General features: G+C 41.9%; 1 protein-coding gene and 1 pseudogene across 14 annotated transcripts in view, besides 2 other annotated features; one reads left to right on the plus strand and one right to left on the minus strand.

Annotated features, from left to right (window-relative positions):
* TBC1D30 (TBC1 domain family member 30) overlaps positions 1 to 13,787 on the plus strand; it is a 121,550-nt gene extending 107,763 nt beyond the window's left edge. For 6 of the 14 annotated variants that reach the window (XM_047428596.1, NM_001330187.2, XM_047428599.1 and 3 more), the window contains 2 exons: positions 3,356 to 3,562; positions 7,755 to 13,787. In XM_047428596.1, coding sequence (XP_047284552.1) covers positions 3,356 to 3,562; positions 7,755 to 8,542 — 995 coding nt within the window. In that variant the 3' untranslated portion in view covers positions 8,543 to 13,787. Of the gene's footprint in view, positions 1 to 3,355; positions 3,563 to 3,734; positions 3,795 to 7,754 lie in introns of all 14 variants that reach the window. The other 8 variants (XM_047428595.1, XM_024448904.2, XM_011538078.3 and 5 more) reach the window with 2 other exon arrangements.
* RPL7P39 (ribosomal protein L7 pseudogene 39) lies at positions 642 to 1,473 on the minus strand (annotated as a pseudogene).
* Positions 5,491 to 5,570: an enhancer, noted in NCBI's record as "active region_6602". NCBI's record gives its function as "activates an Ori minimal core promoter by ATAC-STARR-seq in GM12878 lymphoblastoid cells {active_cell/tissue: GM12878}" and the evidence as "EXISTENCE:reporter gene assay evidence [ECO:0000049][PMID:35858748]".
* Positions 5,601 to 5,700: an enhancer, noted in NCBI's record as "active region_6603". NCBI's record gives its function as "activates an Ori minimal core promoter by ATAC-STARR-seq in GM12878 lymphoblastoid cells {active_cell/tissue: GM12878}" and the evidence as "EXISTENCE:reporter gene assay evidence [ECO:0000049][PMID:35858748]".

Here is a 13,787-nt window from a genome sequence, read left to right on the forward strand (position 1 = left end):
TGAGGTCAGGAGTTTGAGAGCAGCCTGGCCAATATGGTGAAACCCCGTCTCTACTAAAAATACAAAAATTAGCTGTGGTGGTGCGTGCCTGTAGTCCCAGCTGCTTGGGAGGCTGAGGCAGGAGAATCGCTTGAACCCAGGAGGCAGAGGTTGCAGTGAGCCGAGATCATGCCACTGCGCTCCAGTCTGGGCAACAGAACAAGACTCCATCTCAAAAAAAAAAAAAAATTGTTACTAAAAGTATCTTCTCTGTTACTTTATCTTTTTATTATGTAATGGTTTTCCTCTGTATTATGTGTTGCATGCGTAGTACACATTTCTTTTTCTCTGTGGTGACTTTTGCTCCCATGCATTGGATTCAACTTTGTATGCTAAGTTCCTTAGCACAGACCCTGGCATATAGTAGATGCTTAATATACTCCATCTGAGTTTAATTTATTCCAGACTGGCTTCTCTTCCAATAGGATTACCCTTTAAATCAAAACATTATGGTGACCTCTACTTGAATTTCTTGAGTGACAAGAAACTTATTATTTCACAAGACACTTTGCTTGATTCTTCCCCTTAGTCCATGGTTTCTGTTTACAAAGAGATAACTTCCACCTACCCGTTCTACTAATAGTTCTTCTCTTTGCTTTTTTTTTCTATTTGAAGGCATCACTGTTTATTAACTGACCAGATTACAGAAATAATCATGGTAGACCCCTTAGTTCATCCTTCTAATAAGCCTGTAGCTCTTCTCTTCCCTATTGCCAGCATTTCTACCTTCCACAAAATAGGAGGTCTTTTTCTTCATTCCACCTTGTGGAGAGGATAATCTGAAGGGTCACAGGAAGTTATTGGCTTCTTTGAAGCCTTTTCCAACAGTATAGATCTCATGAATCAGATCCTCCATGCAGATGATATCATATTTACCAAGAGATTGAGCAATCAAAGTGTTATCTGTCATGGCAATTTGCTTCTTTTCGATTTTGCTATAATGACACTTGTAGATGAGTTCATTTACTTACTTTAGGTTTGGGTACCGCCATGAAATGTATGGTTCTCCAATCCTCACCATGTTAATTGAAGCCTTGCTGAGCTTAACAAAGATTCCATTGAAGATCTGACAAAGGTGAAGAAACTCCACCACCTTTCAGACCTTTGGGCTCACACCATTGATACCTCTGATCCTTAGGGAAAATGACAGTTTGGGTTCTGTAAGAACATAGAAGTTGCCAGCTTTTCTTGCCCTCCTAGCCATTTGAATCTCAGTTCTGTTCATCTGCCTGTATTCCTTGTGACTGTGTTTAGCTTTTTCATAGATAAGCTTCCTCCTTGCCTTTTGAAGCATCTTTTCGGCAAACTTCTTTCTCAGGTGCTTGATCTTCAGCTCTGCAAAATTCCTTTGCTTTTTCTTAAGGGCTTCTGGCATAGCAGGAACCTTCTTTTTCTTCTCTTCGACACCCTCCATGGTTCCAGCTGGAAAAGAGGATTCTTCCCTTTGGAAAAAACCAGAACAAGTCTACTTACTCCCTCTTCTACCTGACATCTCTTCAAATCTTTGAGGACAGCTATCATGTCCTCCAAAGCTTTCTCAAAGGCCCCAGTTCAGAATTTCTTTAAGCATGTCTCTTAAGTTATGACTTCTGGACCTCCTAATATTCTATTAATTTACCTCTAGATATCCTGTAATTTGGTAATGTTCCCCTTAAAATGTTGTGCTCTGAATCACATGCATGTTTTATTTCATTTTTTTTTTTCTAAACAGAATAGAATTCTGTGGTCTGGAATTATCAATGTTATGCACTGTTTTAAAGTTTGTGGTTCTCTACGTCCTTTCTTGTCTTGGGTGGAAGCTTTTCTTTTAGGATATTTATTCTACCTCTTCTAGTTTGAAGACCATTCTCCTTGTTCAAAGATATTAGAAATATGCTGAAAGAGGACAGAAACTGAATAGATGTCAGGCACCTCTGTGTTCTCTTTGCCATCTGCTAACTTTTTACTACCTTCTTGAAGTCATGGGGCTATCTTCTCTTTTTTTGGTTCTTATTTGGAAGATAGGAGCAGTGGCAGCAGCTGCTGCTACTTCTAACTTTTGGTGGTGATCTTTTGGAGTATTTCCTGCAAGCCTCAGCTTGTTTGAGTTTTAACCTTTTTAATGGCTGGGCTCATACTGTTTTGTGAGTATGTCTTTGGTATGTGCTCTTCTGTCATCCTTTTAAAGGCTTTTTAAAAATCTGAACCCAACAAGAGTCTTCTTGATTTCTGCAATGCCTTCTACCCCCTTTCTTATTGCCTGAGTTCCAGCTTTTGATTTCTAGCCATAGGATCAATATGTATTTTAATGGTAAAGTTTTTGAATCTGCGTTTCTGTAGCCTGGGTCTATGTTTCATTTTTTTTTCTCTGTTTTTCTTTCTGTGCATTTTTGTGCTCTAGGATGACATGATCACTTTCTCCTAAATTTCATCATTAGTCTTTCTTGTTGATTTTGCTCTGATTAGCAGTTTCTCTTTTAATTTTCTTCTCCTTACAGAAATGATTACAGTAAAAAAATGAATTTCTGAGATGTTTAGCCTTTGTCTGAATAACACTCTCAGCAGATGTTAGGATAGTTGGAGTCTCTCAGTCTTTTTTTGACTCTGGCTCCCATGTCAGTTTTACAAATTGTGCTGGAGAAGCTTGCTGTCTCCCGCTTTGGCCTGTGTAGTCTGTGGGTTACTCCCACCTAGTATTGTTTCTCTTTTTTGGAGGTCATCTCAATTTTATTTAAGAGACAAATCTGCTAGTTGTAGCTATCACAGGAGCAGACACCACATCCGATATAACAACAGAGTGGACAGGAAATGTTTGTTAAATGAACAAAGCATTCATTCTAGTGATACAGTGGTCTGAAGTCTTGATAATTTTATAAATTGTGTTACTACCTTTAATGTAAGAAGAATGCACTTTTAATGACTGTCTAAACTCTACAAACCAATTCTGTATAAATCCTCATGCCGTTGTGTGGAAATCTGTACAGTGATTTTAGAAATTAGGAGTTATATCTTTCTAAGGAAATCTTAGACAATGGCAGTGATTTTCATCTGGAAGCAGTTGATGTTATGTCTATATAGCTAACAAACTGGTAACAAAATCAAACTCTGAACCCATATAGCTCATGTCAGACCCACAGTTAGGTTAATAAGAAAATGCAGAAATATTTTCAGGGGCACATCAAAATAAGCACTAGACAAACTCTAGTATGCGTTTTTTTCTGTGGTTTAGAATTTCATGGAGGTTAAGATACCGCACTGAGTTGTAGTGTTATCAATTTCCATTTACTCCTGTTCCCCTCCACCGACCATCTCCTTATGTCTCATCCTTCGAGCGCAGAGCCAAATGAGGAGCAGAGTCTGAGATCTAATAACATTGCAGAGCTGAGTCCAGGAGCAATCAATTCCTGTCGAAGTGAATACCATGCAGCTTTTAACAGTATGATGATGGAACGCATGACCACAGATATCAATGCACTGAAGCGGCAGTACTCTCGAATTAAAAAGAAGCAACAGCAGCAGGTTCATCAGGTGTACATCAGGGCAGGTAATGTGATTCTTCATTTGAATCAATTTCAGCTCTATCTCAACTTGTAAAATGAAGAACAAATAATCCTAGGAAGGCCTTGGAATTACTAACTGTAGCTCAGTATCCATCAACACAGCTGGCATGACATAATAGCATATTTAGCATCTCATTTTAAATTTTATTTTATCAGGCTCTAAAGAAGAAAAAGACTGCAGGTTCTTTTTAGGCCCCAAGGACCAGGCAGTTGATGGTATTAAACACGTCTCTACTGTGTGTGCTGTGGAGAAGGGTTTACAAATGATTAAAATGTTGCAAAGCCATGCAATCCTTGGACTTGAGAAATTTTGGAGCATAAATTTTATGCATCTGAATATAGAATCATCTGTGCACTAGTAAATTAAGCTGTATACTAGTCATTTAGGTGATATTATAACAGATGTTGTATCAGAGAAACTGGGAAAAAAAACATTAAAAACCTGTGCCTTGCTGATGGCAAGTATCTTGGGAATATACTAAGAAGAACACAATTATAATGCAATTGGAAATGCTCTTTTCCAAGGATTGCCAAGCTTTTTTCTTTTTAATTCCAAAAATCCCAGTGAACAGTCTGCTTTATTGTTTAATATATGCTGATTTGGGAGTTGTTTTTTCTTGCTTGAAGTGAATATCTTAATGAAAATGGTGCCTGTCCAGAATTAACTGAAATATAAATTTGACATGTTTTTAAAGTGGCATGTGAGCATGTGACTGATCCTGCACAAAAACTGAATTTACCTTCCATTTATCAGAGAAGAATAGTTGACTTCTTGATGATTCTCACTTTATCCTGAGTCATTAAGAAACCAGTCACAAAATAACTGAACAATTTCACTTTAAGTTTCAAAAACATTGGCACATACATTTCCTCATTTTGTCCTTAAAACAAATCTATGAGGAAGGCAAGGACAGATAGTCCCATCTTCTTCCAAATAGTGAGGAAATGGTGATTCAGGAAGGCTTAGCAATTGTCCAGGGTTATATAGCTATAGTGAGTGGTCAGGCCAGGGCTAGAACACAGGTGTTCTGATTCTTTGTACAGTCCCTTTTTAACTACACTGTACAAGTCTTTGGGTGTGACGGTAAACAATTGCTCAGGGTGCTAAATCGGCCCAGTGGTTTGTACCTTCATCAGGGATCAGCAAACTGTGGTCTGTAGGCCAAATCCTGCTCACTACCTGTTTTTGTAAATACAGTTTTTTGTTTGTTTGTTTGTTTTGAGATGGAGTCTTACTCTGTCATTCAGGCTGGAGTGCAGTGGTGCAATCTCAGCTCACTGTAACCTCCACTTCCCAAGTTCAAGCAATTCTTGTGCCTCGGCCTCCCAAGTAGCTGGGATTACAGGCATGCACCACCATGCCTGGCTGATTCTTGTATTTTTAGTAGAGACGGGATTTCACCATGTTGGCCAGGCTGGTCTTGAACTTCTGACCTCAGGTGATCTGCCCACCTTGGCCTCCCAAAGTGCTGGGATTACAGGAGTGGGCCACCGCACCTGGCCTGTAAATACAGTTTTATTGGAACACAGGCATGCCCATTTGTTTACAGGTTGTCTAAGGCTCCTTTCACACTACAGTGGCTAAAATATTTACAGTCTGGTCCTTTACAGGAAAAGTTTGCTGACCCCTTCTTCAGATCATGGTTGATGGTGGTTCTCTTTAAGGGAGAGATTGCTGCTCAAAGGCAAAGCTCTAGAGCTTTGGTTCTTGAAATTTAGTGTGCATACAGATCATTTGGGGATCTGCTAAAATATTCACTCTGTTTCAGTAGGTTTGGAATGGAGCTGAAATTATATGTTTCTAACAAGCCCGTAGGCACTGCTGGTGCTGCTGCATGGGGACTGTATTAGTCTGTTTTCACACTGCAAATAAAGACATACCTGAGACTAGGCAATTTATAAGAGGCTTAATGGACTTACAGTTTCACATGGCTGGGGAGGCCTCACAATCATGGTGGAAGGCAAGGAGGAACAAGTCACATCTTACGTGGATGGCAGCAGGCAAAGAGAACTTGTGCAGGGAAACTCCCATTTTTAAAACTATCAGATCTTGTGAGACTTCTGCACTATCATGAGAACAGCACGGGAAAGACCTACCCCCATGATTCAATTATCTCTTACTGGGTCCCTCCTACAACACGTGGGAATTATGGGAGCTACAAGATGAGATTTGGGTGGGGATATGGCCAAACCATATCAGAAACCATGGTTTGAGTAGCATGGTTTTAGATGAGATGGTATATGATAGGATTAGCAGCACAGGTGGAGAGATTGAACTTGAACTAGAGGCAAAAAGACCTTAGCTTCTGAGACTTAGTGGAAGGTGGTGAGTATGGTGGTTGAGGTATCAGCTTCCGAAGTTAGGGAGGATGGGAAATAGAGGCCTTTCAGATCTGATAGCTTTTGTTTTCATGGAGTAATTGGGGGAAAGTTGTTTGGTGGGGATTGGGAGTAAATGAGAGGTTAAAGAAAGTAATGAAGATTTAGTTAGGTCACTGAAGGGAGCGAGAAAGGGAAATGAAAAGATTGTTTGGCATTGAGGACCCAGTGAAATGGGAGGTCATGAATTTAAAGGGCTCAGTTTCAGAAAAGAGAATGTAGATCATGGACCCTAGGTTGGGGCTTTACTAGCAATGTGTGACAAAGAGACAGGGATGCCTGTGAGGGAGTGATCTAAGCGGTCAGCCATGCATCTGGCAGGGTAGGGGTGTCAGTGAGCCGAAGACACATGAGGGGTTGTGAGGAGCCTGAGGAACAAGGAGCCAGAAGTCTCTGTGGTTCATTACCACATATAGTTAGACTGAGAGCCTGAGAGCTAGAAGAGCCAAAATGAGGAGTATTAGAATTAAATATTTTCACATAAGGTAGAGCTGGGTGATAATGTTTAGGATGGAACTGGAGAGGTTGAGGAACTATGAGAATGTAATGGAGGGCCAATCACAGTGACAGTCAAATAATTGGGGAGGTGGCAGGAATGTGGTGAAGAGGAGACAGTTATCAACATTTTTAGTTGATACTGGGGTATGACCAGTGGTAAATGACAACAGTAGAGAAGGGTGGAAATTAGTTCAGCCAGATGACATGGACATCAAGGAAGAAGGAAACTCGCACACAGAGGGAGAGGCCTTCTCCCTACAATTTCTGTCTGCAGCTGCCATCCTGGGACCATGTGTGTTGAATGCTGCATTGGAAATAGGAGTCTGGTCATAGCCGCAGGTGGTCAATGATAATGCCATCGACAGTGCCTTCTAGGAGAACAAAGCTTTTTTGTTCGTTTGTTTTGAGAAGGAGTCTCACTGTATTGCCCAGGCTGGAATGCAGTGGCGCAATGTCAGCTCACTGCAACCTTCACCTTCCGGGTTCAAGCAATCTCCTGCCTCAGCCTCCCAAGTAGCTGGGACTACAGGCATGCACCATCACACCTGGCTAATTTTTGTATTTTTAGTAGAGACAGGGTTTCACCATGTTGGCCAGGCTGGTCTCGAACTCCTGGCCTCAAGTGATCCTCCTGCCTTGGCCTCCCAAAATGCTGGAATTACAGGCATGAACCACGGCACCTAGCTGAGGACAAAGCTTTTGGTGCTTTTCAGTTTTCAATTGGCTTTCGAAGTCCATTGAGGACACAGGAGTGGTTTTTCACCTGTAGGGCTAGATGCTGGATAGCTGTGATTTCACTGCATTCTCACTACCTTTTTATCACTTCTGTCATTCTGCTGGATCTCACTTCATAATATGCAGTGTGTTCTTTTCCTACCTCTCAGAGGCTGACAGATGATAATCCATATGGTCATAGTGTTTGTTGTATTATTTTTTTTAAATCTGCAAAGATTTTTCTAAGTACAGTAACTCAGAGGTTGCTACTCAGAGCCAAGAGCTCTCTGTAAAAAAAAAAATTAGGGAGTCCAGGCTCTGATTAGGAATGAGGGGTCAGATGTTCCTTTTTGTATCATCACCCTGTGGTCCCTTCCTCTTTAAAGAAGAGCGCATTGGTATTCCAGGCTCTTCGGTTGAATTCAGTTTCTGCTGTCTTCAGTCACATGACTCTGCCCCTCCCTGGGGAACACATGGGAAGGGATGTGGTAGACGGGGCTGGGAGGACCTCTAAGTGATTTCTGTTCCAAGATGGATGTGTTTCTTTGTGGTACACTTCATACTACCTTTCAACATTTCTTTCAGACAAAGGGCCAGTGACCAGCATTCTCCCGTCTCAGGTAAACAGTTCTCCAGTTATAAACCACCTTCTTTTAGGAAAGAAGATGAAAATGACTAACAGAGCTGCCAAGAATGCTGTCATCCACATCCCTGGTCACACAGGAGGGAAAATATCTCCTGTCCCCTACGAAGACCTTAAGACGAAGCTCAACTCCCCGTGGCGAACTCACATCCGAGTCCACAAAAAGAACATGCCAAGGACCAAGAGTCATCCGGGCTGTGGGGACACCGTAGGGCTGATAGATGAGCAGAACGAGGCCAGCAAGACCAATGGGCTGGGGGCAGCAGAGGCATTCCCCTCTGGTTGTACAGCGACAGCTGGGAGAGAAGGCAGCAGCCCTGAAGGCAGTACCAGGAGGACGATCGAGGGGCAGTCTCCGGAGCCGGTGTTCGGAGATGCTGATGTGGATGTGTCTGCAGTTCAGGCGAAGTTGGGAGCCCTGGAACTGAACCAGAGGGATGCTGCAGCTGAAACTGAGCTCAGGGTGCACCCACCCTGCCAGCGGCACTGCCCAGAGCCGCCGAGTGCACCCGAAGAAAACAAAGCCACCAGCAAAGCTCCCCAAGGCAGCAACTCAAAAACCCCCATCTTTAGCCCTTTTCCCAGCGTCAAGCCCCTGCGGAAATCTGCTACTGCCAGGAACTTGGGATTATATGGCCCTACAGAAAGAACCCCAACTGTGCACTTTCCTCAAATGAGTAGGAGCTTCAGCAAACCCGGCGGTGGAAACAGTGGCACTAAAAAACGATGATGTCTCCCCGAAACTTTGTATCTGGACTCACCTTTTCACAGTAGTATAAGGGTTGCAGCTGAATGGCTCTAAAAGAGTTTTATTTGTCCAGTGAAAATGAATAGGTTCAGGGATGAGCAACAGCCCATAAAAAATGGGAACTGGAAGTTTTATAATAGGAGTTAGAACAGGGCTGTTTTCCCAGCTACTTGCTAACTGACGAAGTGGATTCTTGTGGCAAAATAAATATTGTGGTTTTATAGTGTGAAGTTTTCCCAATTTTTCATTGTGAGCTGTTTAAAAAAGACTATATCTAGATTGTTAACTCTCGTCCATCCTTCTGTTCTGGGGGCCTTCAGAGTCCCTGTGACAGCACCCCCAAACCTTCCAGTTCTCTGGGTGTTACTAATACTCAAGCATGCACATACCAGCTTGCTAGGACAGAAACTGTAAAAAGAAAGTAAGTTTCTTCGTTACAAAAAACTTCCTGATTTTCCTTTTCATGCTTTACGGAGGGGATTGTGTCGTGTGAGATTTCCCACAGTACCAGTTTCAAATTTTTTTTTTATTCTTATGCTAAATCATAGGAGAAAAATCTAGATAGCCTTTCTTTAACTGTCTATTTCTACCTGCAAAATGAAGAAAACCTTTCATCTGTTGAAATTTCAATCGATAACCCAGCTGAAGATCTTATGCACAGGACACACTTGGCATATGCTTTACGCAGTTGCTCCGGACAGCTTGCTCGCGCCACTGAGCTTTTCCTGAGGTTTGTGTTCGCCTCTCAAGGAGAGCTTTGATCCTCAGTGGTACGGATGACTTGATGGGCTCCATGCGGAGCCTGGCCTGCATCCCCCACCACACAGCTCACTCACCCACCAGCTCTAGACTGCAGACGCACAAGGCCTCTGCTCAGAAGCCAGAACACAGCACCTGTGACTCTGTTACTTGAATTTTGTGCTTTTTGATTGGAGTCCTTTGTTGAGTACTTTGTTAATTGAACACTGCCTTTCTCTGGAGAAGGCCCCAGTGCTTTCTAGCTCCCTCTCACTCCTGCCCTTTCTAGCTCTCTCTCACCCAGCGGGTCAGGGATAGCACCTCTTGTCTCCACTATGCAGATGGGAACTCTGAGCCACACAGAGGTGAAGTAGCACTTCAGTTACTCAAGGTCAGTACTCTCGGTATTCCAAGTGACTTAGCCACATTTCCTTCAGTGCAATAGGTGGGTTTAATGCTCTTTGTACACAGATGTATTGGCTACATAGCGTGTAAAAACCAAGACTGGGAAGCCATTCACTAAAATCCCTCCTGACTCAAAGGACCTGTCTCCAGATGGTACAGAGTCCCTTGATGGCATTTTACAAAACCAGCTCTGACTTCCTTATCCTGAACAGGGAGTTTATTTTAAAAATGCTTCATGCACCTGTTATTTGGCTGAACAGAAGGCTCACTCCTCAATCCCCTTCTCCTCGCCATCATTAGAGGAATAGACTCAGCCTTCATGTTTGTCTCTGGAAGACGATTGGCGATACTTGCAGGAATATTGTTGATGCAGCCAATATTAATTTGAGCTAATGGATTGTTAATTCTGAAACGAAAACTGTAACTGTAGAGCAGGCTTTTACTATGAGAGGTACTACTTTTTATAATAGAGAATGTGGTTGTGTGGGCTTTTTTTGAACAGAAAACACAACAATGACCTATACCGTGAGAAAAGCCATTTTATCTTCTTCGTGGTATTTTTACCCCCAAAGGAACTGAAGATGGAAAATATGACTAATAAGTTATTGCAGTTTTGGTCTTGAATTCTGTGCCATCTGAAGTTAGCATCCAGCTTCTTAAAAAGCAGCCACGCCTACAGCCTGTTTTTTGGGAAGGCTGTAGGTGGAGAGATGGGCTTATTTTGCATACCACCCTCAGGGCCCAGAGACCCACTGCATTTTCCAAAGTTAAGCAAATGACACCATTTTCTTCCATCAGCTAAACTTTACAGATAATAGTGTTTCCACCTCATATCCTTTTCTTTGCCCCTTCTCAAATGAGTCAGAATAGTCATGTTCCCCTTGAGGGATGTCTGACTTGAATGGAGAATTGTTCTTTCCTCTCTTGAATCAGCTCACTAGCTCCCTGATGGTCTGGGTTCAAGGAAATGGTTAATGAGGTAGAGGCCACTTATACAAGTCCTTGGGATTGTACCATTGCTGTCCACAAACTTAGTATCAACAACACATGCTGTGCCCTGTGAACACTCTCCTCTCACCTATTTCCAGGGTTGGTCTTCCTGAGAAGGGGATGGATGAGGTAACACACAGTTTGGGATACGTATCTGTTGAATGAATGAATAAGTGAAAGGATAATAGTCCTCTGAGGTAAAAATGGCCTTGTCAGAATTTTGAAAATCCAACAGATTCCTATTAAAGCACTCTGTGTACCAATAACATGCATGCATTGTACCAAGTAATCACAATGTGAATTGGTCAATTTATGAGCCTTGCCTACTTTAGAAAATAAAGAAACCTGCAGTAGCCTCTACCACACAGCATGTACAAAGACCAGTATGGACTTGCTATCTTCCCTATGTATTGGACACTGTATGCAAACACCAGAAGTACTTAACAAGTAGTGGTTTCTTGATTTTTAGATATGTCTGTAGCCTCTTAGCCCTTTTGCCGGGAATCAACTCATTCTGATGCCTCTGCACCTCAGTTCCTCTTACAAAAGCCTCCAGATGATCTAAATCTAGTTAGCAATGTCAGCCTGTGGACTGCAGCTGTTTGGGACATTGTATTCCTTTGTTTGTCTCTTGTTGTTCTGAAGGATTGTATTGATCACAAAGCTATATGCATAAAGATTCTCATTGTTGTAACTGTTCTGCCATTTTCTGAGTGCAAGCATGGAACACTGTTGTGACAGTCCCTTCTCCCTTCTTCCTTCTTCCTTCACCCCCAACCCCAGACCCCCCTTGGTCACATGAACCAGGGAAACAGCCCAATAAGCTCTATCTCCCCCAGTCTAATCGCTGGGTTGCAGGGTGGCCTGTGACCTGCCCAGCATTTGCAGACTCGCTGGTTCCTGAATATGAGTAAGCACAGAGTTTACCTAGAGAGTTTACCTAAAATTAACCTTTAGATCTACTATTTATTTTTGTCTTAATAAAATGAACAATAAATATAGTTTAGCTGCATGGCATTAAGGATTCTGTATGAATAGATGTATAGTTGCTGCCATCTCCCCATATAAAAACTCTCTTTACATCGTTTCTGAGCCACTTTCTTTGCTGTCTGCAGCATTTAAAATATATTATTTTTCCTAATTAGAAAAGTCACAGGTTTTAGAAAATTGGGAAAACAAAAAGAGCATAAAGAATCATCAATACTCTGATATAGATATAGATCTTTCCAGTACGTTTGTGTATGTGTGTACACGCCATTATCTACAAAAAAGTTATGTTGAACATGGTAGTTTAAGCTGTCTTTCTGGTAAATGCTCTTATACAATATGATTTTTAGTGACTAATATTCCCTAATGTGTTCATGCCAGAATTCACATAACCAGTACCTTGTCAAATAGGAGGTTTCTGATTAGATAGTAGTAGAGACAGTATCCTGTTACATGTATGTACATAGCCCGAATTATTTTCTTAGGATATGCGTATAGAAGTGGAGTTGAAGGGTCAGGAAATATGTCCATTTTTAAGATACATATATCTCCAAATTGCCATTCTTAAAGGTTGGAGTTATACAAGTAGTGAATGAGAATGCCTGCTTCTCTACATCCTGGAAGAGGCAGCAGTCTCTTTCCTTTTTTTTCCTTTCTATGACTTCTAGTGTGGAAGTGCCAACAGAAGTGTTTTAGAAGCAGTGATAATGAACACTCATAACACCCATACCTCATTCCTGACTTTTAAAAGAAGCATTAAGTAAGATGTTGAGGTTTCTGGTAGGTGCCTATTATTAGGTTAAGAAAATTCCCTTTTATTCTTTGCTTGCTAAGAGTTTTCTTCATCAACAGGTATTGAATTTCATAAAAAGAACTTTAATTGTATCTTTTGAGAAGGGAATAGTACTTGAGACTTGGTATCCTGAACTCAAAGAAATAGCCATTACTAGGTTTTGTCAAAGAATACCAGATATTTTAGAGTTGGAAGTTATGCAGTAAAAGCTTTATGTGCAAATGTTCATTGAAGTATTAAATGTACTAATGGAAACCTGAAAACAATATAAACATCTGGGAATAGGGGAGATGTTTGGATGAATTATGATTCATCCCCAGGATGGAAATGTGAAGGCCGGTGAGTATTTGGACCATTGAAGTGGGAGTTATCTGTTATCCACATCAGGCAGCTCAGAGTAAAGTCAGCAAGTCTACAGTCATAGAGCCACCAGGATACAGTGATGGATGGGAGGCCTTTGCTGGACAGTGGCTGAAGGCAGAACTGTTGGAGTGGTTCTTCCACAAAGGCAGCCAGTGCTCACCTGAATGGGGACTGGTACTGTAGGTATTGGGTCAGCTTTCATGCCGTTCCCTGCTGGCCATCTCCCAATGCTGAATGTCTGACTCAGTTCAGGCTGCTGTAACAAAGTACCATAGACTGAGGTGGCTTAAACACAGACATTTCTTTCTCACAGTTCTGGAGGCTGAGAAGTCAAAGATCAACGTGTCTGCAAATTTGGTATCTGGTGAGGAAGGGCCCTCTTCCTGGTTTGCAGATGGCTACCTTCTCACTGTGTCCTCACACAATGGAGAAAGGGAGTATGTTTTGGTCTCTTCCTCTTCTGATAAGGGCACTAACCTCATCATGAGGGTCCCATCCTCCTGGTGTCATCTAAACCTAATTACCTCCCAATGGCCCCGCCTTCAAATACCATCACGTTGAAGGTTGCTTCCTTCCTGGTCGTTTGCTCTGGTGAGACCAAATGACCTGCAAAGTGTCACTTGATTCCATTCTCTCCATCCCTTCCATCCCAGGCAATCTTTATCTAGCTACACCAACCTGTGCCCCAGGGGCTTCAAGAGTTGTTGTTGTTTTAACATTAAAAAACCAGAAAGTTCACTTGTTTCTTAGTGTTTACATCCTTGCTATAACAATTCTAGTTTTCCTTTAGGCAATGCTGATCACTGGGAAGGAGGTGGATCAATTCTCCTATGGGACCAACAGTTTTCTGGGAAGAAACTTCCTGATACCTCAGCCTAGGAATCTCCCTATCCCTGGAGAGTCCAGGAATCTATATTAAAACATGAAACAAAGCAAAAAATAAAAAAAAAC

This window comes from Homo sapiens, chromosome 12 (genome assembly GCF_000001405.40).
Source record: "Homo sapiens chromosome 12, GRCh38.p14 Primary Assembly".
In the NCBI taxonomy this organism is placed as follows: domain Eukaryota; kingdom Metazoa; phylum Chordata; class Mammalia; order Primates; family Hominidae; genus Homo; species Homo sapiens.